This window comes from Homo sapiens, chromosome 3, assembly GCF_000001405.40.
Source record: "Homo sapiens chromosome 3, GRCh38.p14 Primary Assembly".
Taxonomy (NCBI): domain Eukaryota; kingdom Metazoa; phylum Chordata; class Mammalia; order Primates; family Hominidae; genus Homo; species Homo sapiens.
Genome location: NC_000003.12, coordinates 125,343,165 through 125,370,136, shown reverse-complemented (window position 1 = coordinate 125,370,136; position 26,972 = coordinate 125,343,165). Strand labels below are relative to the sequence as shown.

The 26,972-nt window shown below is 39.5% G+C and overlaps 1 protein-coding gene and 1 pseudogene across 13 annotated transcripts in view, besides 2 other annotated features; both read left to right on the top strand.

The window, feature by feature from the left end:
* Nucleotides 1–26,972, top strand: part of ZNF148 (zinc finger protein 148) — a 149,686-nt gene that overhangs the window by 5,218 nt on the left and 117,496 nt on the right. Inside the window, exon 1 of one of the 13 annotated variants that reach the window (NM_001348433.2) lies at nucleotides 12,857–13,160. The exons of the other annotated variants lie outside the window; for them this stretch is intronic. The gene's annotated coding sequence lies outside the window, so the exon portion shown is untranslated. Of the gene's footprint in view, nucleotides 1–12,856; nucleotides 13,161–26,972 lie in introns of those variants that run through there. 13 annotated transcript variants of the gene reach the window in all.
* Nucleotides 732–1,232: an enhancer, noted in NCBI's record as "H3K4me1 hESC enhancer chr3:125087749-125088249 (GRCh37/hg19 assembly coordinates)". NCBI's record gives its function as "activates a minimal SCP1, AML or CMV promoter by ChIP-STARR-seq in primed H9 embryonic stem cells {active_cell/tissue: H9 hESC(primed)}" and the evidence as "EXISTENCE:reporter gene assay evidence [ECO:0000049][PMID:30033119]".
* Nucleotides 1,233–1,733: an enhancer, noted in NCBI's record as "H3K4me1 hESC enhancer chr3:125087248-125087748 (GRCh37/hg19 assembly coordinates)". NCBI's record gives its function as "activates a minimal SCP1, AML or CMV promoter by ChIP-STARR-seq in primed H9 embryonic stem cells {active_cell/tissue: H9 hESC(primed)}" and the evidence as "EXISTENCE:reporter gene assay evidence [ECO:0000049][PMID:30033119]".
* DNAJB6P7 (DNAJB6 pseudogene 7) lies at nucleotides 25,340–25,998 on the top strand (annotated as a pseudogene).

Sequence of the window (26,972 nt, the reverse complement as noted above, 5' to 3'; positions counted from 1 at the left end):
CAGGGTGCTGGTTTAATTTAGATTTTTTTTTTTTACCTCAGGCATAAATGACTGTTTTAGGACTGTCTGATTTAATTCTTTTTTAGGATAGTAAAAATAACAGATAAGCTTCTTCTCTCAAGGAATTTGTAGTATTTACAATTTTTTTTTTTTTGAGACGGGGTCTTGCTCTGTTGCCCAGGCTGGGGAGCAGTGGTGCGATCTCAGCTCACTGCTGGGTTCAAACTCCGCCTCCTGGGTTCAAACAATTCTCCTGCCTCAGCCTCCCAAGTAGCTGGGATTACAGGAGCGTGCCACCATGCTCAGCTAATTTTTGTATTTTTAGTAGAGGTGGGGTTTCACCATTCTGGCCAGGCTGGTCTTGAACTCCTGACCTCAGGTGATCCTCCCACCTTGGCATCCCAAAGTAGTATTTACATTCTTTTGAGAGAGAAAGACAGTTGTGAAATAATTCAGTAATGGTATAAGATTTCAGAAAGTTGATTTTTAAAAACAAATATCAAAATTATATCTCCAGATAAGAACTTTTATATTTCGGTGGTCATTTTCAGTAGCAGTGTTCAGAATGTTTTTAGAACACCTTTTCTGAATTAACTTCTGAGTACAATTCTATAGAATTTACCTATTTATTGAGTATCTAGTGTGTGCTGTTGGGGGAAGGGGTCTATAAAGGTGAGCGAAACATGGTCCCTGTTTGCTAGGAGTTCATAATCCCTTCAAGAGGCACACTTTTTTTTTTTTTTTTTTTTTTTGAGGTTGCAGTATTCTTTGTCTTCTGGAGAGTTTTAGTGTGGGAAATCTGGAAATGTATTAAAATGACCCTAGAATGTTCTTTCTAGGCTTCTATGGCTTTTTTTTTTTTTTTTTTTTTTTTTGAGGCAGGATCTCACTCTGTCACTCAGGCTGGAGTCCGGTGGTGTGATCTTGGCTCACTGCAACCTCCGCCTCCTGAGTTCAACTGATTCTCGTGCCTCAGCCTACCAAGTAGCTGGGACTAGAGGCACACACCAGCACACCCAGCTAATTTTTGTATTTTAAGTAGAGACACGGTTTCACCATGTTGGCCAGGCTGGTCTCGAACTCCTGGCCTCAGGTGATCTGCCTGCCTTAGCCTCTCAAAGTGCTGGGATTACAGGTGTGAGCCACTGCGCCGAGCCCAAGAGGCACACTTTTGTTTGTTTGTTTGTTTTTTGAGATGGAGCCTCTCTCTGTCACCCAGGCTGGAGTGCAGTGGCGCCATCTTGGCTCACTGCAACCTCTGCCTCCCAGGTTCAAGCGATTCTCCTGCCTCAGTCTCAGAGTGGCTGGGACTACAGGCGTGCACCACCACTTCTGGCAATTTTTTGTATTTTTTAGTAGAGATGGGGTTTCGCCGTGTTGGCCAGGCTGGTGTCGAACTCCTGGCCTCAAGTGATCCACTCACCTTGGCCTCCCAAAGTGCTGTGATTTCAGGCATGAGTCATCACACCCGGCCAAGAGGCACACTTTTAAATAATACATGGTATAATCTTATTCTGAATGGTCTTATTGATGACAGATCTTTTTACTTTGAAATTTTGATTTTTAGAAATGCTGAAGGTTAGTCAATATCAAATAGAGTGAATGAAAAATAGTTTTGCCTTAAATCCAGTTAATCACAGAAACGGGAATAATTTTCTTGGTTGACTTATTAGCTGATTTTGAAAACACTCCCAAGGAGGAAGTTGGAAATATTTTGAACAGGGGTGATAGCTTCACATGTAGTTAGTTAGGCACTACATAAATGTTGGTTGAGTGCATCAGATGGTTGGATGGATGGAGTGAATAAATGAGTAAGTGGTAGCCTTCCAAAGTAACTTATTTTAAAGAGGACCATACTGATTTGAATGTGTAAATAAATTTTTTAAAAACTCATTTTTCTCAGATGAAATAAATTCTGAGTATGTTTGTTAATAATTTTATTACCTTGAGCAAGATAGTTTAAGTTCACAAATGAGTTTTACAGACAGTAAGTGCTGTAGGAGTTCAGGGAATGGAGAAATGAACATTGGCTAAGGTTTGGTGAAATGATTTAAGTGAACCATACTTATATTTGAAAAGATTCCTTAGGGATCTCAGAGAGGAACTAAATGACTCCAAATTCCTCTTGCAGCCCTAAAGTGAACCTAGAGTCTGGATCTATTTTTGTCTGAATGCTTTCTGCCTGTTTCATTTTAGCTACTCCTACTGGTTTGTTCCTTTCAGATTCACATTTGTTGGTAGATGTTGAGCCCCCTGAAACAACTATGGGGTCTGTTTTCCGTCTTCGTATAGTGTAACTTTTAGTTGTTCTTTTATGAGCCTGTACCCCACAAATTACTTGGCCTTCATGAGAGAAGAGCATGAGTCAACTTGGCCCTGTTATCCTGGCATTTTCCTGCATGCTTTTCTCAAAGCTGCTTTCTGAATTACGGAATAGAATAGACAGAACTGAGGGCATGTGTCCAGTAGACACGAGCTTGTTGAATGAATGAATGAATGAATGAATGAGATATTTGAGATAATTTAGGAGATCTGAATTGTCTATATGTTTTATGTTTCTTTTTCATTTATTCATAACCTGCCTTTTTCTACAAAGGACTTAACAGGGCTGCCAAACTATATGCACTAGCAATGAATTGAAATAATTCAATAAATCTGGTTAAAGAGATGATGAAGAAAAGAAAAATCTGTTTAAAGAATATAGATCAATGTGTATCGGTGTTAGAGAACTAGGAATAAGGTAGAAGATAAGCAGATGGGGAAGGAAAGGTGGTATCTGATAGAAAGCATGATTCTGAAGGAGGGAAAAGATTACTGAAATATGACAGGCTATCTTTGGAGGAAAGCATGAGAAGATGGAGGGTAAAGAGGATTATTTGAGACGGCTGTTTTGAGGAGGAAGATGGTAAGGCTATTTGAAGGATAAGAGTCAACAGAAGTTTGGAATATAGTAGAAGTTATTAAATTATGTTGATTTATAACAAGGTTTCAGAAAATGATGGGATGAGCTTTATTTAACAGATAATGCACATTTGTTATATGCAAAAGCATATAATGCTTTGCTGTCAGGAATAAAACCTTTGGGATTTATATTGTGGTAGGGCAGCTGGACTTGTGCACAAATACCTGTACTATAATCACAAATATATCTGTGAGTCACAAATATACCAAATATTACTGAATTTAAAAGGCAGAAAATGCATTTGATTAGGAGAAAACCTGAGACAGAACTTTAAAGGCATAAAAGTGGAATTTTAGCTAGTCTTTGAAGGGATTGATAAGATTTTTTTTTTTAAGTTTTGGATTGATAGGATTTTGATTGGCAAAGATTACTGAAAGAGAGCATTCCTGCCTGAGAGATTAGCGTAAGCAAAGGCTTGGAGGTGAGAAGCCCAGGAGATGTGGGGAATGGTGAGTTAGGTTTTAATTTTTAAACTATGACCTATAGTAAGAAATACATGTCACACTTCTATCTAATATATGCATGTATGAATGTTTGTGTGTGGGTAAAACAAGAAGTTTCATAATACAGTAACTGTCCTTAACAGTGGCAGGTGCAGTTGGATGTTATCTATTTTGTTTGACTAAAAAGAAAAAAAGCTGGCCAAGGGGGAAGAAAAAAAAGCTGATTGTCACTCATTAAACTGATTTCATGACCGACAAAATAATTAATCACAATCTATAGTTTGGAACGCAGAGAGTTCATGAATAAGGTATAATACAAGGTAGGAGAGTCAGTTGGGGTTGGGTTGAAAATGGATGGCCTTGAAAGCTAAGCTAAGTAGTTTGTATTTGATATGATGTAGTGTTGTGCTTGGTAAGCAAACAGAAGCTGGGTTTTAGTCTTGGCTCTTCTGTTTACCCACTGTATGATTATGGAGAATTATTTCCTTTCTGAGTTTCCATTTTCTCATAAAATTGATAATCATACTTTCCTGGCAAGGGTTATGGTGAGGATGTGAGAATTAAAGTATGTTAACATATGATTAAAGTATGTTAGCAGAAATCATTAGTGTATAGCTGTTGAACTTTTCTGAGTAGAGAATTGAGCCAAGGACCGTATATTAGATAGCTGGCAATAGCTATACCTTACTGGGTAGATTGCGGGTAATGTGGTGGTAGAGTAAGATTGTATGTGAAAAGACCAGTTAGAAAACAAAAAGACCAGTTAGGTGGCTACTGGAGATATTAAGAAGGGCTTGAATTAGTTTGATAGCAGTAGGATTAGAATATGGAAGTGGAATGCAGTTGGAGGTAGGGAAGAGGGGAAGATGACTAGAAATATGCTATTTATTTATTTATTATTGAATGAACGAACGTGAGGCTCTTGATCTGTTGCCCAGGCTGGAATGCAGTTGTGTGAACGCAGCAGCTCACTGCAGCCTCTACCTCGTGGATTCAAGTGATCCTCTTGCCTCAGCCTTCCGAGTACCTGGGACCACAGGCATGTACCACCACGCCTGGCTAATTTTCAATTTTTTTTGTAGAGATGTGGTCTCACCATGTTGCCTGGGCTGATCTCAAACTCTTGGGCTCCAGTGATCCCCTCCCTCAGCTTCCCAAAGTGTTGGGATTACAGGTGTGAGCCACCATGCCTGGCTGACTGGAAATTTAGAGTTGTAGAAATATTCAAATGGCAGCAGCTGAAATTGGATTATATTTTTGGGTAGTTTAGTGCAGTACATTAGAGTATAATTTTAGTTTCTTTCATGTAGTAGGTGCTCAATTATTTGTTGAATGATAGAAACTAAATACGTGGACTGTGGGATGAATTGTGAGTAGAAGCAGTGATGGGTGGATGTGAGAAGGAGGGTTAGACTGGAGGATACTTTGATGGACTGCCAGAATTTATTCGTTCAGGGTATATTTTTATATTTACTGTATGCAATGGACTGCCAGAATTTATTCATTCAGGGTATATTTTTATATTTACCATGTGCAAGGTTCTATGGTAGGGAGTGTGAAGGATACATGTTTATATATGACACAGTCCGTGTTCTTCAGGAATTTATCCAGGGACAAAACATACACATCCATCTATGACACAAGTACTGTGGCAGGTTTGTTCAAGGTTGGCTTTGTGGAGAAATTGGTGCGAAGCTTAGACCTTGAAGGATAAATAAGATAATAGGCAAGAAGGTGAGGGTTGGCTTTCCTAGAAGAAGGAGTGATATGAGTGACAGTGAGCAAAGTTCAGGACATGTTTAGGGGTTGGTGGTCTAGATTAGCTATAATTTAGGGTTCATGTTGAGGAATGGAGGGAAATAAAGCTGGGAAGTAGGCAGACTATCTCAAAAATTCAGGCTAACTTGGATTTTGAAAATGTATTTATTGAGATAAATACAGTAAAGTGCTCCAATCTTAAGGGCACTTAGGTATAAATTTATGTAGCCACCACCCAGTTCAATATACAGGACATTTCCGACTTCCAGAAGGATGCCTCATGTGCCATTTCCAAGCTGATATCTCATCCAACCAAAAATAACTATTATTCTGACTTTTGTCATAACAGAGTAGTGTTGTGTGTTTTTGAATTTTGTATAAGTGGAACCCAATTTCTGTGTCTAGTTCCTTTTTCTCAAGGAGCATGTCTGTGAGTTTTATCCATGTTATGTTTGGCTGTTTATTCTTTTTTCATTGCTGTGTGGTATTCTATCATATGAATATACCACAGTGTATTTATCTATTCCATGATTATTGGATGGTTTCAAGTTTTTTGAAGTCTGAGGTGTTCTGTTTGTTTTTTTCAGGCAGAGTCTCACTCACCCAGGCTGGAGTGGTGCGATGTCTGCTCACTGCAACCTCCGCCTTCTGGGTTCAAGCTATTCTCCTACCTTAGCCGCCCTAGTAGCCAGGATTACAGGCATGTGACACCACGCCCAGCTAATTTTTGCATTTTTAGTAGAGACAGGGTTTTGCCATATTGGCCAGGCTTTTCTCAAACTCCTCACCTCAAGTGATCTGCCCACCTCGGTCTCCCAGAGTGCTGGGATTACAGGCATGAGCCACCATACCTGGCTGAAGTCTGAGGAGTTTTAACTTAAGTCAGTATGCAGTGGAGAACCAGTGTTGATTTTTGAACGGGTAAATAAGAGACTATTTAAGAATACTAATCTGGTGACCTTTCTCTTTTTGTAATGAAGAGAACCTGGTGACTGGGAGACAAAGTTAGGAAAAAGTGTGAAGTAGGCTGGACACAGTGGCTTATGCCTGTAATCTCAGCATTTTGGGAGGCTGAGGCAGGCAGATTGCTTGAGCTCAGGAGTTTGAGACCAGCCTAGGCAACATGGCGAAACCTTGTCTCTGCAAAGATAAAAAAATTAGCGGGGCATGGTGGCACATGCCTGTAGTTCCAGGTGCACGGGAGGCTGAGGCAGGAGAATGACTTGAACCCAGAAGGCAGAGGTTGCAGTGAGCTGAAATCTACACTCCAGCCTGGGTGACAGAGGGAGACCCTGTCTCAAAAAAAAAAAAAAAAAGTGTGAAGTATTGAGGGTATAAGTTGGGTAGTCATAGTGGGAATAAAAGGAGAGGGATAGCTATAAGAAATACCTCAAAGAAAGAATGGGAAGGTTTGATGGCAGATAGGCTTTTGGGAAACAGTAGAGAAAAAGAAAACTGAAGAAAAGCTCTAGGGCTTTTAATCTGGGTGACTGAGATTGATGGTGCCATTAGTAGAAATTATTAGATCACTTAGCAGAACTGTTTTGGGGTTTTAAGACACATTGACCTGTGTGTGAGGCATCAGTACTGGATTGGAGCTAAGAAAAGAAGTCCAATATAGAGTTGGGAATACATACATAGAGTTGATAATTATATAGCTACTAATTTTGGATTTAGTTAGGGCACTGACGGTTATGAAATTATTTGGACTGATAATTGAAGTGTTAATTGAAGTAATAGTTGAAGAATCTAGTTAAAAAGAAATCATTATGCATTCCAATTCTAGTTAAAAAGAAATCATTATATATTCTAATTCCTCAGGAGTAAATTGGATTGTAGGAGAGGGTGATGGTTTAAAGATTATTTTGGGTAGCTGGGGGAAGACAGCCATATGAAGAATGAAAATGTAGAAACAGTGGTGAGGGATGAGACCCTCAGTGGCTGAGAATTATAGGAGGCTCCAGGTCAGACCTTGGGAAAATATCCACAATTTGGGCTAGGAAGAGCAGCAGTGATTTCAGATAGAAGAAACAACCAGAGAGGTCAGAGTAGAATCATTACAGTGACATAAAGCAAGGTGGGTAGCTTAAGTGTCATTGCCAAAAAGAGGGTAAGGACTGGCCAAGCATGGTAGCTCATACCTGTTATTTCAGCAGTTCGGGAGGCTGAGGTGGGCATATTGCTTGAGCTCAGGAGTTCGAGACCATGCTGGGCAACATGATGAAACCTCATCTCTACCAAAGATAACAAACTTTGCTGGGTGTGGTGGCGCGCACTTGTAGTCCCAGCTACTTGGGGGGCTGAGGTGGGAGGATCACTTGAGCTTGGGAGGCGGAGGTTGCAGTGAGCTGGTATTGAACCACTGCACTCCAGCCTGGGTGACAGAGTAAGAGCCCGTCTCAAAAAAAAAACAAAAACAAAAACAAAAAAAGGGTAAGGACTTTGGTGGGGGATCATATGATTTGGAACATAGATTTTTTAGTTTTTGTTTTTTTTTGTGGTCTTCAAGAGAGCAGTTCAGAGACCAGGGTGCATGGTGGTTTACTGAGTGGGTTGGAAGAATATGGAAGCAATAAATACAGGAATTGATTAAAGAAGTTTAGTTTGAGAAGGAAGAACAACAACTCTTATTCTAAAACTGGAGGCAAGAAGTAACAGATGGATGAAGTTACAGCATTTTAGAAGCTGTGAAGAGGATTTGATTACAGGTGGAGAAGGTGTGATTTGAGGGAATTTTATAGAAGGGTTCGAGTATTTGTTGGAATTAGGGATTTAAATATGAAAATGATTTGGATTAGTCAATGAGACGGAGAGTTGTATTTAGAATAAATCTGTTGTGGAAGATTTCATAGCTTTCTGGTGGTGCTTAACACCCAGTGCGTGGGCATGGAGAAAACAGATGGTGAGGATTGTCTATCACTGGGGAGATGCATAGTGAGAATAATGGAAGGTCATGATATTCTGGAGAGGACAGTGTTAAAATGGCTGTTGGACAGGTTTAAATTATATAGGGAGACAATAAAGCCAAGTGGAGGTAAAGAGCAGGTCTACAACTAGAACATAAAGTAGTTGTGGATAAAGAAAAGGGGGGTGGTCTCTGAAGTTACAATCCTAGTGGATTGTAACTATTTTTTTTTTTTTGAGACAGGGTCTCGCTCTGTCACCCAGGCTGCAGTACAGTGGCATAATCTTGGCTCACTGCAGCCTCTGCCTCCCAGGTTCAAGTGATTCTCCTGCCTCAACCACCCAAGTAGCTGGGATTAAGGCATGAGCCGCCATGTCCGGCTAATTTTCTGTATTTTTAAAGGAGACAGGGTTTCACCATGTTGGCCAGGGCTGGTGTCGAACTCCTGACCTCAAGTGATCCACCTGCTTTGGCCTCCTAAAGTGTTGGGATTACAGACGTGAGCCACCACACCCGGCCTAGCACTTTTCAGTTGATGGCTCTGTTTTGTTTCTTTGTGGCTAGCTGAAGTGCAGATGAAGGTCTTAGGAGTTTTTGAAGGTCAGGGTGTAGAAAGTTCTTGAGCATCTTTGTTGAAGTCATTGAGAATAATGGCTGAATTTGGGAGCAAGCAGAATTGAAGTTATTGGGTAGGGGAAATAGGAGGGTGTTCTGGAGGTTGGTAGATGTTGCAGAAGGAATGGTTTCAGTGAGTAATGTGACTCCCAAGCGATTTTTTAGTGATAGGATAACAGGGAGTGGTCCTGGGGAGCAAGAAGCAGCAAGTCCTTTTTTATCAAGCTGAAGGAGTAGGAGAATGATATAGCTAGTCATGAGAGAAGCAGATTGTCCAGGAAAAGCCAGGTAAGATGAGACAGGTGGTCACAATAATTGGGCAAGAGTTGATAGTGATTGGAATCATTGAGCCACGGGAATTGAGAAAAATAGCTAGATTTGTTACATTTACCAGTTCTCTTATTATTATTATTTTTTAATTTTTCAGACAGGGTCTTCTCTGTTACCCAGGCTGGAGTGCAGTGGTCCAGTCATGGCTCACTGCAGCCTTGCCTCCTGGGCTCAAGCAATTCTCCTGCCTCAGCCTTCTGAGTAGTTGGGATTACATATGTGTACCACCATACCTGGCTTTTCTTTTCTATATATATGTATATATATATTTTTTAATTTTTTAATTTTAATTTTAATTTTTTTTTTTTAAAGAGATGTGGTCTTCCTATGTTGCCCAGGCTGGTCTTAAACTTCTGGTCTCAAGCGATCTTCCCTCCTTGGCCTCCCAACAGTTTGTTTATAAAATAAATAATACTTGCAAAATCATAACCATTCATGTGTAATATGCTGATATAAATTTAGCTGAAAGATATTTGTGGGTTAAGAAATGAGACATTGGAAACAAAAGATGAGGTGGAGGTGTATTAAAGATAAGGTAAGCTGAGTATGATGGCTCACACCTGTAATCCCAGTGATTTGGGAGGCAGGGGCAGGAGGATCACTTGAGCTCAGGAGTTCGAGACCAGCCTGGGCAACATAGGGAAACCCTGTCTCTACACAAAAATAAAAAATTAGCTGGGCATGGTGGTGCACACCTATAGTTCCAGTTACTCAGGAGGCTGAGGTGGGAGAATCACTTGAGCCCTGGAAGTCAAGGCTGCAGTGAGCCATGATTGCACCACTGCGCTCAGCCTGGGCCACAGAGTGAGACCCTGTCTAAAAAAATCAAAAAAATACAAAAACCCTGTCTAAAAAAAAAGATGAAGGTAAAAGACAAAAGATGTTCTATTGTTTGTTGACAATAGAACATGGAGAAGCTGATAGGATCTGGTAAATAGATGGACTGGAAATGAATGAGGAAGTTGAAGTTGTAGGCATAAGAGAGGAGAGAGTAGCTTGCAGCAGAGAAAATATGGAGAGAACATATGGAAAGGGGTTTAAACAGGCCATGGTTTGTAGGGGCGAGGATATTGACAAGCATCATTAAGTGTAATATTTTTATTAAACTGGGAAGTAGGGAGCCCTTGTATTCCCTGGGCTTTTGCAGCCCAGGCCCAGTTGTGCCAGCTGCATGGGCGGGCCTGTGCTGGCGGTGCACTTAGCAGCTGGTGGAGCAGCGGCGTGGAGCTGCATGGTGGCGGGTGGGCTGCCGCCCACTTGGGTCTGTGTGCTCTTGGCCCATGGCAGGGCAGGCAGGTGGGCGCTCGCTGAAGTGAGCAGGAAATAACTGATGTCAGAAACCTATTCTTTCTCTGTGCAAATAAGAACAGTCTATGCCACCCATGATAAAAGGTGGCAGTATGTCATGCCAGCTTTTAAAAAAATATTGTCAGTGATAGAGACATTGAGATCTCTATTTGTGTGCTTGAGAACCACATCATGTTTTCTGTTTGCAAAAACTGGCAAAAACTTGCATAAGTAAAGAGATTCGGGTAAAATGTGGAAGAATGGGGCACATGGTAAGAATGAGATGTCCTAAGGGAACTAAAGTGGACTCTTTACTTTCTTTTTTGTCTATAATGACTTTAATAATCCTGAAGTGCTGGGATTATAGACATGAGCCACTGTGCATGGCCCATATCAGAGTTTTTGATGTTCATGTTTCAGAGAGAGAGAGAGAAAGCATATTTAATGTAGAAACATGAAATGGCAGTGAGAAAAATATGACAAGGCACAAAATACGTAGTATTGGTGTTCCATCCTAGTGTAGCTTTGCTTCAGGATTAGTTCCAGGATTTAGCCCTGGGCTTTCATCACTTTCTTCCTGCCTTAACTTCTACATCTGTTTAGCCACCAAATTTAATAATGAAAGATCTCTGGAGACTCAGAGTGTTGAAGGCCTGAGAGGGCCCAGGGTTCTCACTTTGCTCAACTCATGAAACTTGGCTGTACCATCATGTAGCAGCCCTGCCTGATTCAGTCTAGAGTTGTTTTTAGGATGTGCCTCAGACTGGACCTTGTTGAGGGAGAGCATATTCTGAATATTTGGGTGGATTGTGTGGGTTAGGCCAATGATGAGTATCTTAAAGAAGGTGATGGGAAGGATTATAGTAGACATGGAGAGAAGTGTGTTTTAAATGATAACTATATTAATTCAACATAGATAAATGTCTTCACAATACAGGGGTTTGACCTTTGAACATCTAGGGTGGCATGGAGAAGTTTTCCCTGTAAAATTGAGAAGAGCCAATATCCAAGAGATTAGAATGAAATGCACACTTGCTGTTCTGCAGGCCCCTGTATATGTGTACTTGTCATATGTACACACCTGTATGTGTAGATACATATAATATTAAAATTTGTTTATTTGATTAGGTTGTATAATTAGTTTTAAGGGAAGTGGGACTAGTAGTGGAACTAGTTTTGAGTTATGAATGAGTTAAATGAATTGTTACAGAATATTTGGAAAGGTCATTTTCAAGGTTTTGGGGACGAGCCTAGGAAACAGATTTTTCTGTAGCCATAGGGGCTTCTGGAATAGATGCACAAACTTTGATGGCAGTTTGGGGCAAATTTGTGTAAGTTGGAGAGTGTTAGCTTTGAGGAAATGAGAACAGACAAGAAAAACGCAGTGTTTGAGAAAGTTATTTATGTATTGATTTGGTAGGAGCTGATAAAAAATTATAAAAGTTGTGGAGAGATTTTGAATAGCTAAAGTGGGAGATATCATGGAAGTGATTTATGAAGCTTTTTTTTTTCTTTTTCTTTTTTGAGATGGCATCTTGCTCTGTTGCCCAGAGTGGAGTGCAGTGGCGTTATCACGCCTCACTGCAACCTCTGCCTTTTGGGTTCAAGCGATTCTCCTGTCTCAGCCTCCTGAATAACTGGGATTACAGGTGCCCGCCACCACACCCGGCTAATTTTTTGTATTTTTAGTAGAGATGAGGTTTCACCATTTTGGATAGGCTGGTCTTGAACTCCTGACTTCACGTGATCCGCTCGCCTCAGCCTCCCAAAGTGCTGGGATTACAGGCCTGAGTCCCCGCGCCGGTCCGATTTATGAAGCTTGTTACTTCAAGTATTAGAAAAGTAAAATGGAAAGATGGTTTAGAGAAGATTTCTTTTGGGAACAATATAAAACAAGCAAGGCAAGAAAAAACTAAAATGAGTAAATTAGGGTGTGGAAAAGTTAGAGTAAGAGGAAGGATTAAGGCGGAGGCTACTGAAAGAGATTTCTTACTGTCAGGCTGTGTGATAATACAAAGCTGTGTTCTGCAGCGTTTTGTTGGATACTATTGATAACTGGTTCTTTAAGGAAAGGGGCTTAAACAGGCCTTGGTTTGTAGAGGTGAGGATATTGACAAGCATCATTAAATGTAATATTTTTATTAAAGAAACTTGGAAGTAGGGAGCCCTCATATTCCCTGGGCTTTTGCAGCCCAGGCCCGATTGGGCCAGCTGCGCGGGCGGGACTGTGCCGGCTGTGCGGTTGGTGGCTGTGGAACAGCGAAGTGGAGCTGCGTGGTGGCGGGTGGGCTGCCGCCCGCCTGGGTCCGTGCGCTCTTGGCCCGTGGCTGGGCGAGTGGGCGCTCCCTGAAGTGAGCAGGCCCTGGAAGGGGGGGAGGACGGGCTTTTGCCCACCGTCTGGCGAACCCCGCACGCCTCTTTTTGGGGGGTGTGTGTGTGTCCCGCGCGAGTGTGCCTGTATGCAGGGACCAGCACCTTCCATGACTTCCTTTTGTGTGTAAGTGCGTGCGTGCGTGCGTGTGTCTGTGCGCGTGCGCCCCTCTGCAGGGAGGAGGAGGAGGAGGAGGCGGAGGGGCGCGGAGAAGCTGGCGCACTTTGGGCCTCGGCGGGGTCGTCTGCGGCGGCCGGACCTCCCAGATACCGCGCCTTCTGGGCCTGCCCCGCTGGCGCAGTCAGGACCCCTTCCCTCAACGGGATGGGAAACTTTGTGAGTGGCTTCTCCGCAGCCACTAACAAGTGTCCGCCAGACAGCGGGGGGGCCGCCGAAGGCTGATGATGGACACCCGTTTTTCTTCTTATTCCTCTTTTACAAATCTTCTGTTGAACTGCATTGTGTTTACAGTTTCACGTCTGTGAAAAGGTCAGCAGGTAACTTGCTTTACTAGACAGCTTTTTACTGGGTATTAAGAGCAAAAAATGTACACCTGTATCCTTATATTAAAAAACCCTGCTTGTCTAGTGGTAAGAACAATCCTAAGGCCTTTCCAGAATTGGGCTGTGGGGCAAACTTTTGCTCTCCAGACTTTGTGAAACACCTTTTACGATGCCAGGAAAGAACTACTTGTGCAGTAGAATGAAAGCTAGAGTTGGAAATGCAAAAGTTGAAGCTCTTTCCAACAGCTTGCATTTAAAACAGCTTTTTGTTTTATATAATAATTGTGATTTGTTGAGTTTACATGAAGAATTTTGCAAAATTAGGCATGGTGTGATTAAACAAGAGCGTTTCTTAATTTTATAGAGGGCAGTGGTAAAGGCACCACTCAGTTTGGAAATTTCAAGTATGTTGAAATGTTGCTATAAATAAAATCCTATTCAGATTTTTAGATTTAATAAATCTAAAAATATATTTGCAGTTGTCCTTTGGGTGCAGGAGGAAGTCCTGGGTTTCTCTGTGCTTGTTTCTGGGCAGATTTTCAGTATTGTTAGCATGATACAGGTATAGAACCTTAACCTGAGTGAATAATTTGCTTGAGATTACCAGTCTGTTTTGGAGCTGGAATAGACTCTGGGTCTCTTATGCCCAGTCTGGTGACCAATCCCAGAATAGACTAAGGAAACTGGGTGTTTGTCTGTTTGGTGGAAAATAGGGCTGAGCCAAAAAATGAACGTGTGAACGTTTACTTTTCTGTTAAAACATTTAAAAGTAATTTCTCCACACTGGATTTCTTTGGCCTTTCTTTAAAAACAGAGGACTTGAGTATATTACCCAGTGGTACTTCTAGTGGGATTTGTACCACATTTACATTTGATTACAACAGGCAGATGCTTATGGTTTTTAACGGGGGGAAGATATATTTTTCATGCGAGTGTTCTCAGTGGTTAGAATAGGGAGTAAGTAACTTGAGCACTTTTAGCCTCCTTGAAATGCTAGGGAGAAGAGGAATTAAGTTAATGTCATTAATCTCTGTTGAAAACGTTTGGACCTCTTTATTGAGGATTCTTTACAAGGCATGGATGGAATACCTATGGATTTCCCCATAGCTTATATACTTTTATTCTCATTGTTACTACATTAGCCACACACAACAATATTTAATTAATGTTTTCATTAGGCCTCATACAAGAGGGTACCTTTTTCTAGTATGTGAGTTGCAATTTTTTTTTTTTTTTAAATAGAGACTGGGGTCTCACTGTGTTGAGCAGCCTGGTCTCAAACACCTGGCCTCAAGCTATCCTCCTGCCTCGGCCTCCCAAAGTGCTAGGATTACACATGTGAGCCACTGTGCCCAGCCCGACCTTTTGTTTTGCTGGAAAACATTCCTGTCTTTTCTTATGCCATTCCTCCTATATCACAAAACAAAAACAGTCTTCTTCTTTTTCCCTTGTCTGGAAACCCTGGACATTTTAAATCGAATGCAATAGTTCTCAAACCAGAGGTGATTTTGTCAAACGTCTGGAGACATTTTTGGTCAGCACGCTGAGGGGGTTCCACTGGCATCTAGTGGGTAGATAAACCTCCTACAATGCATATGACAGTCCCCATGACAAAGAAATTATCCACTGCAAAATGTCAGTAGTGCTGATGTTGACAAAACCCTGATCTGATGTATTGAGAATAACATTCTCCCAAATGATTTAAACCTATGAAAGTTATTTGTAATCTAATTGATATCTCTATATCATGTATATTATAAATCTTTTTCCAATGTTGTCATTAGAATGATCATGGGTCAAAGGTTATGAAGTATATATTAGAACATTAGAACACAGGATTGTGGAGCTGGAAGATTAACAAGTATAACTCCTTCAGTATGTAGATGAAGACATTGAGTTATGGAGAGATGGTGACTTACCCAAGGTTGGACAGATAATGCAGAGCTCAGGTCTCTTATTACCTCTACTTCTTAGTTTAAATCATTGCTGAGGGAAAGGGTGTGGCATCACTTTTGCTTGATACAGATAAATTTAATCAAATTACAATGTTAAATAATCGCATTGTGAGAAATATTGTCTTTCAGTGAATTAGTTACTTTTTCAGATTCACACATATTTTTGAATTCTTCAGCATGGTGTTGTTACCACTGTAAACTTTTCAGTGGCTGCTTTTTAAGAAAATGTCTGAAAAATTTAAAAAGACCACATACAATTTTTAAAACAAAACAATTAAAGTTAGTTATGATAGCTTAGGCAAAATTTTGAATGCAAACTCAACCAGAATTACTGAAACATCTTAGGGTATCTTGAACTTAACACATTTGTTCTGTTGTGTGAGGATCACTAAAGTGGTGAATTATTGTGCTGATTGTAAATCTGTTATAGCAAGACCCCCTAGTTAATTTTAGAAAAAGATAACTGGAACCTTCAGGTGAAATGTAATTGGGGAAATACAAATTGGATATTTACATGAAATATTTTCAGATTGCTTAAGCAGTGTATTGTCAGAAGAAGTATCAATGGGGTTCTTTTTTAAATTAATTTTTTAAAGAATTGGGCAACAATTCCATAAAATAGAATAAGTGTTCCCTCAATGGGGTTCTTTTATGTTTAATTTTTTTTCCTAAAAACAAAACAAAAAAAGTGAACTGAGTTTTCCAGGCTCTGAATGTCTGAGTGTGATTTGTGTGGCCGCAGGAGCAGTGAACATCTCCAAAAAGACAATATGAGCAAAGATTTCCTTAAAAATTTATATATGACATTGAAATTTAAAAAAATTTTGAAATTTAAAATTTAAATTTTATGTAAGAAATTTATTTAATAGAAAAAACTTAAAATGCATATTAGCATAAAGAAAAATGGAATCAAGAGAAACTGCTTTTAATATTTTGGTATATGGCTTTCTTATATTTTTATTAACCTTTTATTATGGAAAAACGTAAATGATGAAAAATAGAATATTATGAACTCTCATATAGCAATTAATGGCTAAGCTTATGTCATCTGTACCTCCACCTTACCCCTCTCTCCTCTCTCTTTTTTTAGTTTCTATATAGAGATGGGGTCTTGCTATGTTGCCCAGGCTGGTCTCAAACTCCTAGGCTCACGTGATCTTCCCGCTTTGGCTTCCCAAAGTGCTGGGATTACAAGCATGAACCACTGAACCTGGCCTCACATGTTAATTTTTTTTTTTTTAAACTTTATTCTGGGCTGTGCACAGTGGCTCATGCCTGTAATCCCTACACTATGGGAGACCAAGGCAGGTGAATCTCTTGAACTCAGGAGTTCAAGAACAGCCTAGGAAACATGGCGAAACTCTGTCCCTACTATATAAAAAAAGGAAAAAACCTTTATTTTGAAAAAATTATAGACTCACAGGAAGTGGCAAAATTAGTACATAGTCCTGTGTACCCTTCACCCAGACATCTTAATAAATTTCTAGTAAGACATCAAAACTAGGAAATTGACATTGGTATATTACTGTTAACCACACTACAGAATTTATATCATTTTCACTGCTTTTTAAACCTGCACTTATTTTTGTGTGTTCACAGTTCTAGCAATTTTATGCCATATATAAATTCATGTAACTACCACCAAGACCAAGATCCAGAACTATTGCCTCATCACAAAGGAAACTCCTCTTGCTATCCCTTTATGTTCCCACCCCATTCCAACACTCCTCCTTGTACCCTGGCAAACTGTTTACTATCTATAGTTTTGTTCTTTCCAGAATGACATAGTTTGTTTATGTATGTATACTTTGTATACATACATACTTTGTTTAGCCATTCACTTGTTAAAGAACTTTTAGTATGTTGCAGTATTTTGTTATTATGAATAAAGAGGTTATGGACATTTGTGTACAGCGTTTTTTGTAAACAAAAGTTTTCCTTTCTTTGAGATAAAAGCCCAAGAGTGGGATTGCTGGGTTGTATGGCAAGTACATGTTTAGTTATTTAAAAAACTTCCAAACTGCTCAAAAATCAGTTGAACATATTTGTATTGGTCTGTTTTGGGGTTCTGTATTCTCTTCCATTGATAAGTGTGTCTGCCTTCCCTCCAGTACCACGCTGTCTTGATTATTATAGCTTTATAGTGAGTCTTATCGAGTAGAGTGCCTCCTCTCACTTCATTCTTCTCTGTCAAGATTGTTTTAGCTCTTCTGGTTTTGTTGCCTTTCCATATAAATTTTAGAATAATCACATCTGTATCTACAAAAAAAATCTTGCTGGGAGTTTGATAGGAATTGAATAAACCTATAGTTGAATTTGAGAAGATCTTTTTTTTTTTTTTTTTTAAGATAGAGGTCCTTCAGTCCGTGACCACAGGATATTTCTCCGTTTACTTAGATCTTCCATGTTATTTTGAAGCAAATTCCAGCCATCATATAGTTTTCCTTAAACGGTGTTATTGAGGTATAACTTATATACCATACAATTCACCCACTTAAGCTATACAGTTCAGTTGTTTTCAGTGTACAGAGGCATACAGCCATCAGCATAATCAATTTTAGAACAGTTTCATCACCCTAAAAAGAAACTACCCATTAGCAGTCAATTTCCATTCCCTCTTCCTCCCCGTCCCTGGCAACTACTAGTCTACTTTCAGTCTCTAGGACTTTGCCTGTTCTGGACATTTCATATGAATTGAATCATAAAGTAGATGATCTTTTTTGTCTGGCTTCTTTTACTTAGTGTAATGTTACATGATGTAGCATGTGTCAGCAGTTCATTCCTTTTTATTGCTGAATAGTAATCTATTATATGGGTTTACCACTTTTTTTTGTATTCATTCATCAGTTGTTGGGTTGTTTCCACTTTGTTTTTTTTTTTTTGGCCATTGTGAATAATGCTGCTGTGAACGTCCATGTGCAAGTTTTTATGTGAACATTTGTTTTCATTTCTTTTGTGTATATGTGTATGTAAGAGTGAAAAATTGCTGAGTCATGTGGTACCTCTGTTTAACCATTTGAGTAACTTCCAGACTATGTTTCAAAGCAGCTTTACCATTTTACATTTCTATCAGCAGTATATGAGGGTTCCAGTTTCTCCATATCCTTGATAACACTTCATACTGTCTTTTTGATTATAGCTATGCTGGTGGGTGTGAAGCAGTATTTCATGGTTTGATTAGCATGTCTCTGTTGGCTAATGCTGTGGAGCATCATTTCATCTGCTTATTGGCCATTTGTATGTATTTTTTGGAGAAATGTCTTCTGATCTTTTGCCTGTTTTTTAGTTGGGTTGTCTTTTTATTGTTGGGTTTTAAGAGTTCTTTATATGTTCTGGATGTTAGACTTATCAGGTAAATGATTTGCATATATCTTCTCCAATTCTGTGGGTTGTTTTCACTTTCTTGATAGTGTCTTTTGAAGCATAACAGTTAAAATTTTCTTATTGTAATAAAAAATACATAATATGAGACCTATCCTTTTAACAAATTTCTAAGTGTGCAATACAGTATTGTTAATTATAAGCACAATGTTGTACAGCAGATCTCTAGAACGTTTTCATTTTGGATAGCTTAAACAATACCCATTGAATAGCAACTGCGCTTTTTTTTTTTTTTTTTTTTTTTTTGAGAAACAAGGTCTCACTCTGTGGCCCAGGCCGGAGTGCGGTGGCACGGTAACAGATTGCAGTCTCAACCTTCTGGGCTTAAACAAGCTTCTCGCCTCAGCCTTCTGAGTAGCTAGGACTACAGGCACCTGCCACCACGCCTGGCTAATTTTAAATTTTTAAATTATTTTTGTAGAGACTGGGTCTCATTCTGTTGCCCAGGCTGGAGTGCAGTGGTGCAATCACAGCTCACTGTAGTCTCGACCTCTTGGCTTCAAGCGATCCTCCCATCTTGGTCACTCAGAGTGCCGGGATTACAGGTGTGGGCCACCACACCCAGCCTCAACTCCTCATTTCTACCTCCCCTCATCCCCTGGCAACCATTGTTTTACTTTCTGCTCCTATGAGATTGACTACTTTATCTTAAATCCCTCATAAAAAGTGGAATCATACAGTATTTGGCCTCCTGTGACTGGCTTGTTTCACTTATAATGTTCTTAAGGTTCATCCATGTTGTCAACGTTATAGAATTTCCTTCTTTAAGGATGAATAATGTTCCATTGTGTGTGTGTATATATATATGGACTGCTGCCAGTCGGAGGCCTGTTACAGATTGGGCTGCACAGCAGGAAGTGAGTGGCAGGTGAGTGAGCATTACTGCCTGAGCTCTGCCCACTGTCAAATCAGCAGTGGCATTAGATTCTCTTACATTCTCTTAGGAGCGTGAAGCCTATTTTTAACGGCGCAGGTGAGGAATCTGTTTTACATGCTCCTTTTGAGAATCTAATGCCTGATGATCTAAGGTGGAACAGTTTCATCCTGAAACCATCCTTGACCCATTGAAAAATTGTCTTCCGTGAAACCAGTCCCTGGTGCTAAAAAGGTTGGGGACTACTGCTGTAGTTAACATGAGTGCAAATATTTCCTCAAAAATCCATGGTGGTGGCTCACGCCTGTTATCCCAGCACCTGGGGAGGCCGAGGCCAAGGCAGGCGGGTCATTTGAGGTCAGGAGTTTGAGACCCGCCTGGCCAACATGGTGAAACCCTGTCTCTAATAAAAATACAAAAAAAAATTAGATGGGCCTGGTGACACATGCCTGTAGTCTCAGCTACTTGGGAGGCTGAGTTGGGAGAATCACTTGAACCCAGGAGACGGGAGATTGCAGTAAGCCGAGATTGCGCCACTGCACTGTAGTCTGGGTGACAGAGTGAGACTCTGTCTCAAAAAACAAAACAAAACCAAAACCCATTATCAATTCTTTTGGATAAATATGCACAAGTGGGATTTCTGGAACATACAGTAGTTCTATTTTTAGTTTTGTGAGGAACCTCTGAACTTTAAAAAAAATATTATGCACCATTTTGCATTCCTATGAACAGTACACAGGGTTTACAATTTCTCCATCCTTGCCAATACTTGTTATTGTTATTTTTGGATAATGGTTGTTCATACAAGTTCATGTATCTTTTTGGTATAATGATTTCTTTCTTTTGGATATACACCCAGTAATGGGATTGTGGGGTCAAATAGTAGCTCTGTTTTAAGTCTGTTTGTTTTTTGAGACAGGGTCTGGCTCTGTCATCTGAGCTGTAGTGCAGTGGTGAGATCATAGCTCACTGCAACCTCAAACTCCTGGACTCAAGTGATCCTCCTGCCTCAGCCTCCTGAAGTGCTGGGATTACAGGTGTAAACCACCACATCTGGCCTGTTTTAAGTTTTTTGAGAAATCTTGAAGTTGTTTTCCACAGTGGCTGAACTAATTTACATTTCCACCAGCAATATTTAAGTGTTCCCTTCTCTTCACAGCCTCACCAACATCTGTTAGTTTATGATTTTTAATAATAGCCATTCTTACTGGTGTGAGATGGTATCTCATTGTGGTTTTGATTTGCATATTCCTGATGATTACTGATGGTGAGCATCTGCTTATATACCTGTTGGCCTTGTGTATGTTGTCTTTGAATAAATATTTTTTCAGGTCCTTTTCCCATTTGAAAAGCAGGCTATTTGTTATTTTTTGCTATTGAGTTGTAGGAGTTCCTTGTATATTGTGGATTTTAGCCCCTTAGCAGATGTGTAGTTGCAAATATTTTTTCCCATTTCATAAGTTGCCTAGTTGCTCTGTTGATTGATCTGTTTGCTCTGCGAAGCTTTTTAGTTTGATGTAATCTCACTTGTCTGTTTTTACGCTTGTTGCCCGTGCTTTTGGTGTCAAATCCTAGAAATCATGGCTGTGCCATGAAGCTTTTCTCCCATGTTTTCTTCTAGGAGTTTTACAGTTTCAGGCCTTATTAAAGTTTCTAATCTATTTTGAGTTGACTTTTATGTATGGTGTAAAATGAGGGTCAAACTTCAATTCTTTTTCATATAGCTGCCCAGATTTCCCAGTACCATTTATTGAAGAGACTGTTCTTTTCCTGTTGTGGATTCTTGGCACCTTTCTTGAAGATCAGTTGCCTCTGTATGCCTGGGTTTATTTCTGGGCTTTCTGTTCTGTTCCATTGGTCTGTATGTTTTGTTTTTATGCCAGTACCATACTGTTTTAATGTGTTTTGAAATCAGGAAGTGTGAGGCCTTTAGCTTTGTTGTTCTTTTTCAAGATTGTTTTGGCTACATTCGGGGGCTTTTGTGGTTCTGTTTGGGTTTTAGGATTGTTTTTGTATTCCTGTAAAAAATGCCATTGGGGTTTTCATTGAGATCGTATTGAATCTGTACATCGCTGTGAGTAGTATGGACATTTTAACATTAAGTCTTCTAATCCATGAACATGGGATGTGTTTCCATTTATTTGTGTCTTCAATTTCTTTCATCAGTGTTTTGTAGTTTTCAGTGCATACAAGTCTTTGCCTCCTTAGTTAAGTTTAAGTATTGTTTTTGATGCTGTTGCTGTTGGATAGCTTTTTTTTTTTTTTTTTTTTTGAGACAGGGTCTTGCTTTTTTTCCTGGGCTGGAGTGCAGTGGTGCTATCACAGCTCACTGCAACCTTGGCGTCTCGGGCCCGAGTGATCCTCCTGTCTCAGCCTCCTGAGTAGCTGGGACTATAGGTATGCGCCACCACACTAGACTTTTCTTGTGACACTTTTGAAGCTTCACCTGTTACTTATAGGTCTTTAATTCATTTAACTAATTTTTTTTTTCTTGGAGACAAGGTCTTGCTCTGTCACCCAGGCTGGAGTGCAGTGGCACGATCAAGGCTCACTGCAGCCTTGATCTCCCAGGCTCAAGCAATCCTCCAGCTACAGCCTCCCGAGTAGCTGGGACTATGGCACATGCCACCACGCCCAGCTAATTTTTGTATTTTTTTTTTGGTAGAAATGACGTTTTGCCATGTTGCCCAGGCTGGTCTCAAGCTCCTGGGCTCAAATGATCCACCTGCGTTTGCTGGGATAACAGGCATGAGCCACTGAGCCAGGTCTTTAATCCATTTAGAGTTAATATTTGTATATGGGATGATGAAGGTATCCAGTTTCATTCTTTTGCATGTAGATATTCCTTGGTTCTAGCACTGGTTTGTTGAAAAGACTTCTTTCTCTACTGAATTGTCTTGGTGTCAAAAAATTGGTTGACTTAGCCTGGTGCAGTGGGCACACTCCTGTAGTCTCAGCTGTTTGGGAGGCTGAGATAGGAGGATCTTTGAGCCCAGGAGTTCGAGTCCAGCCTGGGCAACATAATGAGACCCCACCTCTATAAAAAGAATACATAAAATTAGGAGGCTGAGGCAGGAGAATCACTTGAACCCAGGAGGTGGAGTTTGCAGTGAGCTGAGATCGTGCCACTGCACTCCAGCCTGGGTGACAGAGTGGGACCCTGTCTCAGAAAAAAAAAAAAAATAATACATAAAATTTAACAAAAAAGATTGACCATAAATTTAGTTATTTAAGTCTGGACTCTAAATTCTATTCCTTGATCTATATGTTTATCTTCATGCCAGTACCACAGTGTCTTGATTACTGTAGCTTTGTTAGTTTTAAAATCAGAATGTATGCATCCTTTAACTTTGTTCTTTTCTTTCAAGATCGTTTTGGATTTTCTTGGTCCTTTGCAATTCCATATGAATTTTAGCATTAGTTTGTCCATTTCTGCAAAGAAAGGTTCTGGGGTTTTGATATGAGTTGCACTGAATCAGTAGGTGATTTGGTGAAGTATTTTCCTCTTAACAATATGAAATTTTTCAATCCATGAACATTAGATGTTTGTTTAGGTCTTTGTTAATTTCTTTCAGGGATGTTTTGTAGTTTTCAGTGTACATGTCTTGTACCTGTTTTGTTAAATTTATTACCAAGTACTTTATTTTTTTCCTGCTATTATAAGTGCTTATGATTTTCTTAATTTTATTTTTGAATTGTTCATTGCTTGTGTACAGAAATATAATTGATTTTTGTAAATTTTGCATCCTTGGTGAACTTGTTTATTCTAGTAGCTTTAGTGGATTCCATAGGGTTTTCTATATATATGATCATGTCATTTGGAAATAGAGACAGTTTTTTTTCCCAATATTAATGCCATTTAATTCAGTTTTTTGCTTAATTTACTGTAAATTAAGCAAAATTTACAGTAAGTTTTGGGGATTAGTTCATTCTCACACTGCTATAAAGAAATACCCAAGCCTGGGTAATTTATAAAGAGGTTTAATTGGCTGGGGAGGCCTGAAGAAACTTACAAATATGGCAGAAGATGAAGGGGAGATAAGGACCTTCTTCACATGTTGGCTGAAGAGAGAAATGCAAGTAGTGGAAATGCCAGTTGCTTATAAAACCATCACATCTTTTGAGAACTCATTCACTATCATGAGAATAGCATGGGGGAACTGCTCGTGTGATCCAATCATCTTCCTCCCTTGACATGTGGGGATTACAGGTCCCTGTCTTGATATGTGGGGATTACAATTCGAGATCAAATTTGGGTGGGGTACAGAACCAAATCATATCATTTACCTTGCTAGAACCTCTACTGTAGTGTTGAATAGAAGTAGTAGCAAGAGTAGACATCCTTGTCTTCTTTCTGATCTTAGGGGGAAGCACTTATTTTACTTTTGAATATGATATTAGCTTTGATTTTTCATAGATGGCCTTTATCAGGTTGAGGAAGTTCCCTTTCCTAGTTGGGTGTTTTTATTGTGTAAATGGTGTTGTATTTCATCAAATGTTTTTCTTCATCTAAGATGATCTGCCAAAAATAAAAGTTTTTGGACTTTGTTCTATTGATGTGGTGTATTATATTGATTTTCAAATCTTAAGCCAACCTTGCATTTCTGAGATAAATCCTACATGGTCATGCATAATCCTTTCTATGTGTTGGTAGATTTGGTTAGTATTTTGTTGAGGATTTTTGCAGCTACATTTGTAAGAGTTATAGGCTTGTCATTTTCTTTTCTTGTGATGTCTTTGTCTTGTGTTGGTAACAGTAATGCTGATCTCATAAAATGAGTTGAAGAATATTCTCCCCAAGTTTTGGGAAGAGTTTGTGAACAGTTGGTATTAATTCTTCATTAAATGTTTGGTAGAATTCACCAGTGAAGCCATCTGAGCCTGCAGGTTTTTTTTTGTTTTTTGTTTTTTGGCAGCAGTTGGGGGGGCTTTTAAATTAAGAAGTCAGTTTTATTTAATGGCTATGGGGTTATTTATATTCTCTGTTTCATCTTGGTTGTGTTTTGCTAATGTGGTTTTGTGAAGTTGGTGTCAAATTTAAGAGCATAAAATTGTTTGTAATATTCCCTTATATTCTTTTAAAACTGCTATAGGATCTGTACTGATGTTCTGTTTCATACCTGATGTTTTGTGTCTTCTGTTTGTCTTTTTTTGTTGTTGTTGTTGTTGTTAGTTTTGATAGAGGCTTACAAATTTTTTGCTTAATTGATTTTCTCTATTTTCCTCTTTTATTTCTTCTTTTAATAATTCCTTCCTTCTTGCTTTGGCTTCATTTTGCTCTTTTTTAGTTTCTTTTGGTAATTCAATTACTGGTTCGACATCTTTCCTCATTTCTAATGTAAGCATTTAGTGCGTCTGATTGTTGTTAGCTGCATCCCATGTATTTTGATGTGTATTATGTTTTTATTTTCATTTATTTTTATGTATATTTAAAAATTTTGAGACTTCTGTTTTCATCCATGGACTTTTTAAAAGTGTGTTGTTTATTGCTCTATTTAGAGATTTTCCTGTTGTCTTTCTGTTACTGATTTCTAGTTACTGGTTAGAAAATACACTGTTACCATTTCAGTTCTTTTAAGTTTTTTGAGGTTTGTTTTATGGCCTTGGTGAATGTTCCATGGGTACTTAAGAAAAATGTGTATTCTGCTGTTATTGAGTGGAATATTCTCTACATATGTCAAGAAGACCATGTTGGTTGATTGTGTTATTAATGTAGCCACTCTGCTTTAAAAAATTTATTGTCATGTCTTTCCATTCTTGTGCTTTTAACTTGTTATGTTGCTGAATTTAAATTTCTTGCAAGCAACATATAATTGGGCCATTAAAAAAAAAATCTACTCAGGCTAGCTGAGAGGAGATCCAGAGCCCAGAGCATCCAGGCCACTGCCCCACTTCCCCTGTGTCCCATCGCCTGCCACCTGCATCCTCAGTCCTCTTCCAACTATCTGCTAAAACATGATGGATTACTATGAAGTTCTAGGTGTGCAGAGACATACCTCACCCAAGGATATTAAAAAAGCATAATGGAAACTGGCACTGAAGTGGCACCCAGATTCCTGAGAATAAAGAAGAAGCAGAGAGAAAATCAAAACAAGTGGCTGAGGCATGTGAGGTGCTGTAAGATGCTAAAAGATGGTACATCTATGACAGGATTAAATGGTGGCAAAGAAGGATTAAATGGTGGAGGAGGAGGTGGAAGTCATTTTGACAGTCCATTTGAGTTTGGCTTCACATTTTGTAACCCAGATGATGTCTTCAGGGAATTTTTTTGGTGGAAGGGACCCATTTTTATTTGACTTCTTTGAAGACCCTTTTGAGGACTTTTTTTTGGAATGGGGTCCCTGAGGAGGCCAAGGGACAGAGTCATTTTTTCCACATTCAGTGGATTTCCATCTTTTGGAAGTGGATTTTCTTCTTTTGATACAAGATTTGTTTCATTCAGGTCACTAGGTCATGGGGGCTTCACTTCATTCTCTTTCGTGTCGTTTGGTGGTAGTGGGATGGGCACTTCCAAATTGATATCAGGTTCTACTAAAATGGCTAATGGCAGAAAAATCACTACAAAGAGAATTGTTGAGAATGGTCAGGAAGGAATAGAATTTGAGGAAGATGGCCAGTTAAAGTCCTTAACCATACAGGGTTAGGAGCAGCTGCTGCACTTGGGTAACTCAAGTAATTTAATGCGTGCATTTAACAGAACTGTTAAACTATAACAAGCACCATTTGAAGATTAACAGGAACATTTTTTTTGAACATTTCAAATGAACTCAACTTTCAGTATAATTGTACCAAATCTAAAGTATTTATAGACAGCTCAACAGAGTCCCCATTTGTCATAGACTTTTCAGTTTATTGTTGGTGTGTCCGGAGTTGGTTCCTGTCGGTGGGTTCGTGGTCTCTCTAACTTCAAGAATGAAGCCATGGACCTTTGCGTTCAGTGAGTGTTACAGCTCTTAAAGATGGCACGGACCCAAAGAGTGAGCGGTAGCAAGGTTTATTTTGAAGAAAGGACAAAGCTTCCACAGTGTGGATGGGGACCCGAGCGGATTGCTGCTGCTGGCTGGCGTGGCTAGCTTTTATTCCCTTATTTGTCCCTGCCCATGTTCTGTTTCTGTGCTATCAGAATGCCCTTTTTTCAATCCTCCCTGCAATTGGCTGCTTTTAGGATTCTGCTGATTGGTGCGTTTTACAGAGCGCTGATTGGTGTGTTTTACAGAGCGCTGATTGGTGCATTTTACAATCCTCTTGCTAGCTACAGAGTGCTCATTGGTGAGTTTTTACAGAGCGCTGATTGGTGCATTTTACAATCCCCTTGCTAGCTACAGAGCACTGGTTGGTGCATTTTACAATCCTCTTGTAAGACAGAAAAGTTCTCCAAGTCCCTAGTCCCCAGGAAGTCCAGCTGGCTTCACCTCTCATTGGGACCACATAATAGGACCTTTTTTTTTGTCTTTAAAATTGTAAATCTCTATGTGTACTTTGCATTTTTACTAAATGTACTCCAAGGTGAGCCTTGACACGTCAATGGTAGGAAAAGATTGCATACTAAACCAAAACACGTAAAAGCATGGATCTACTTTTCCATCGT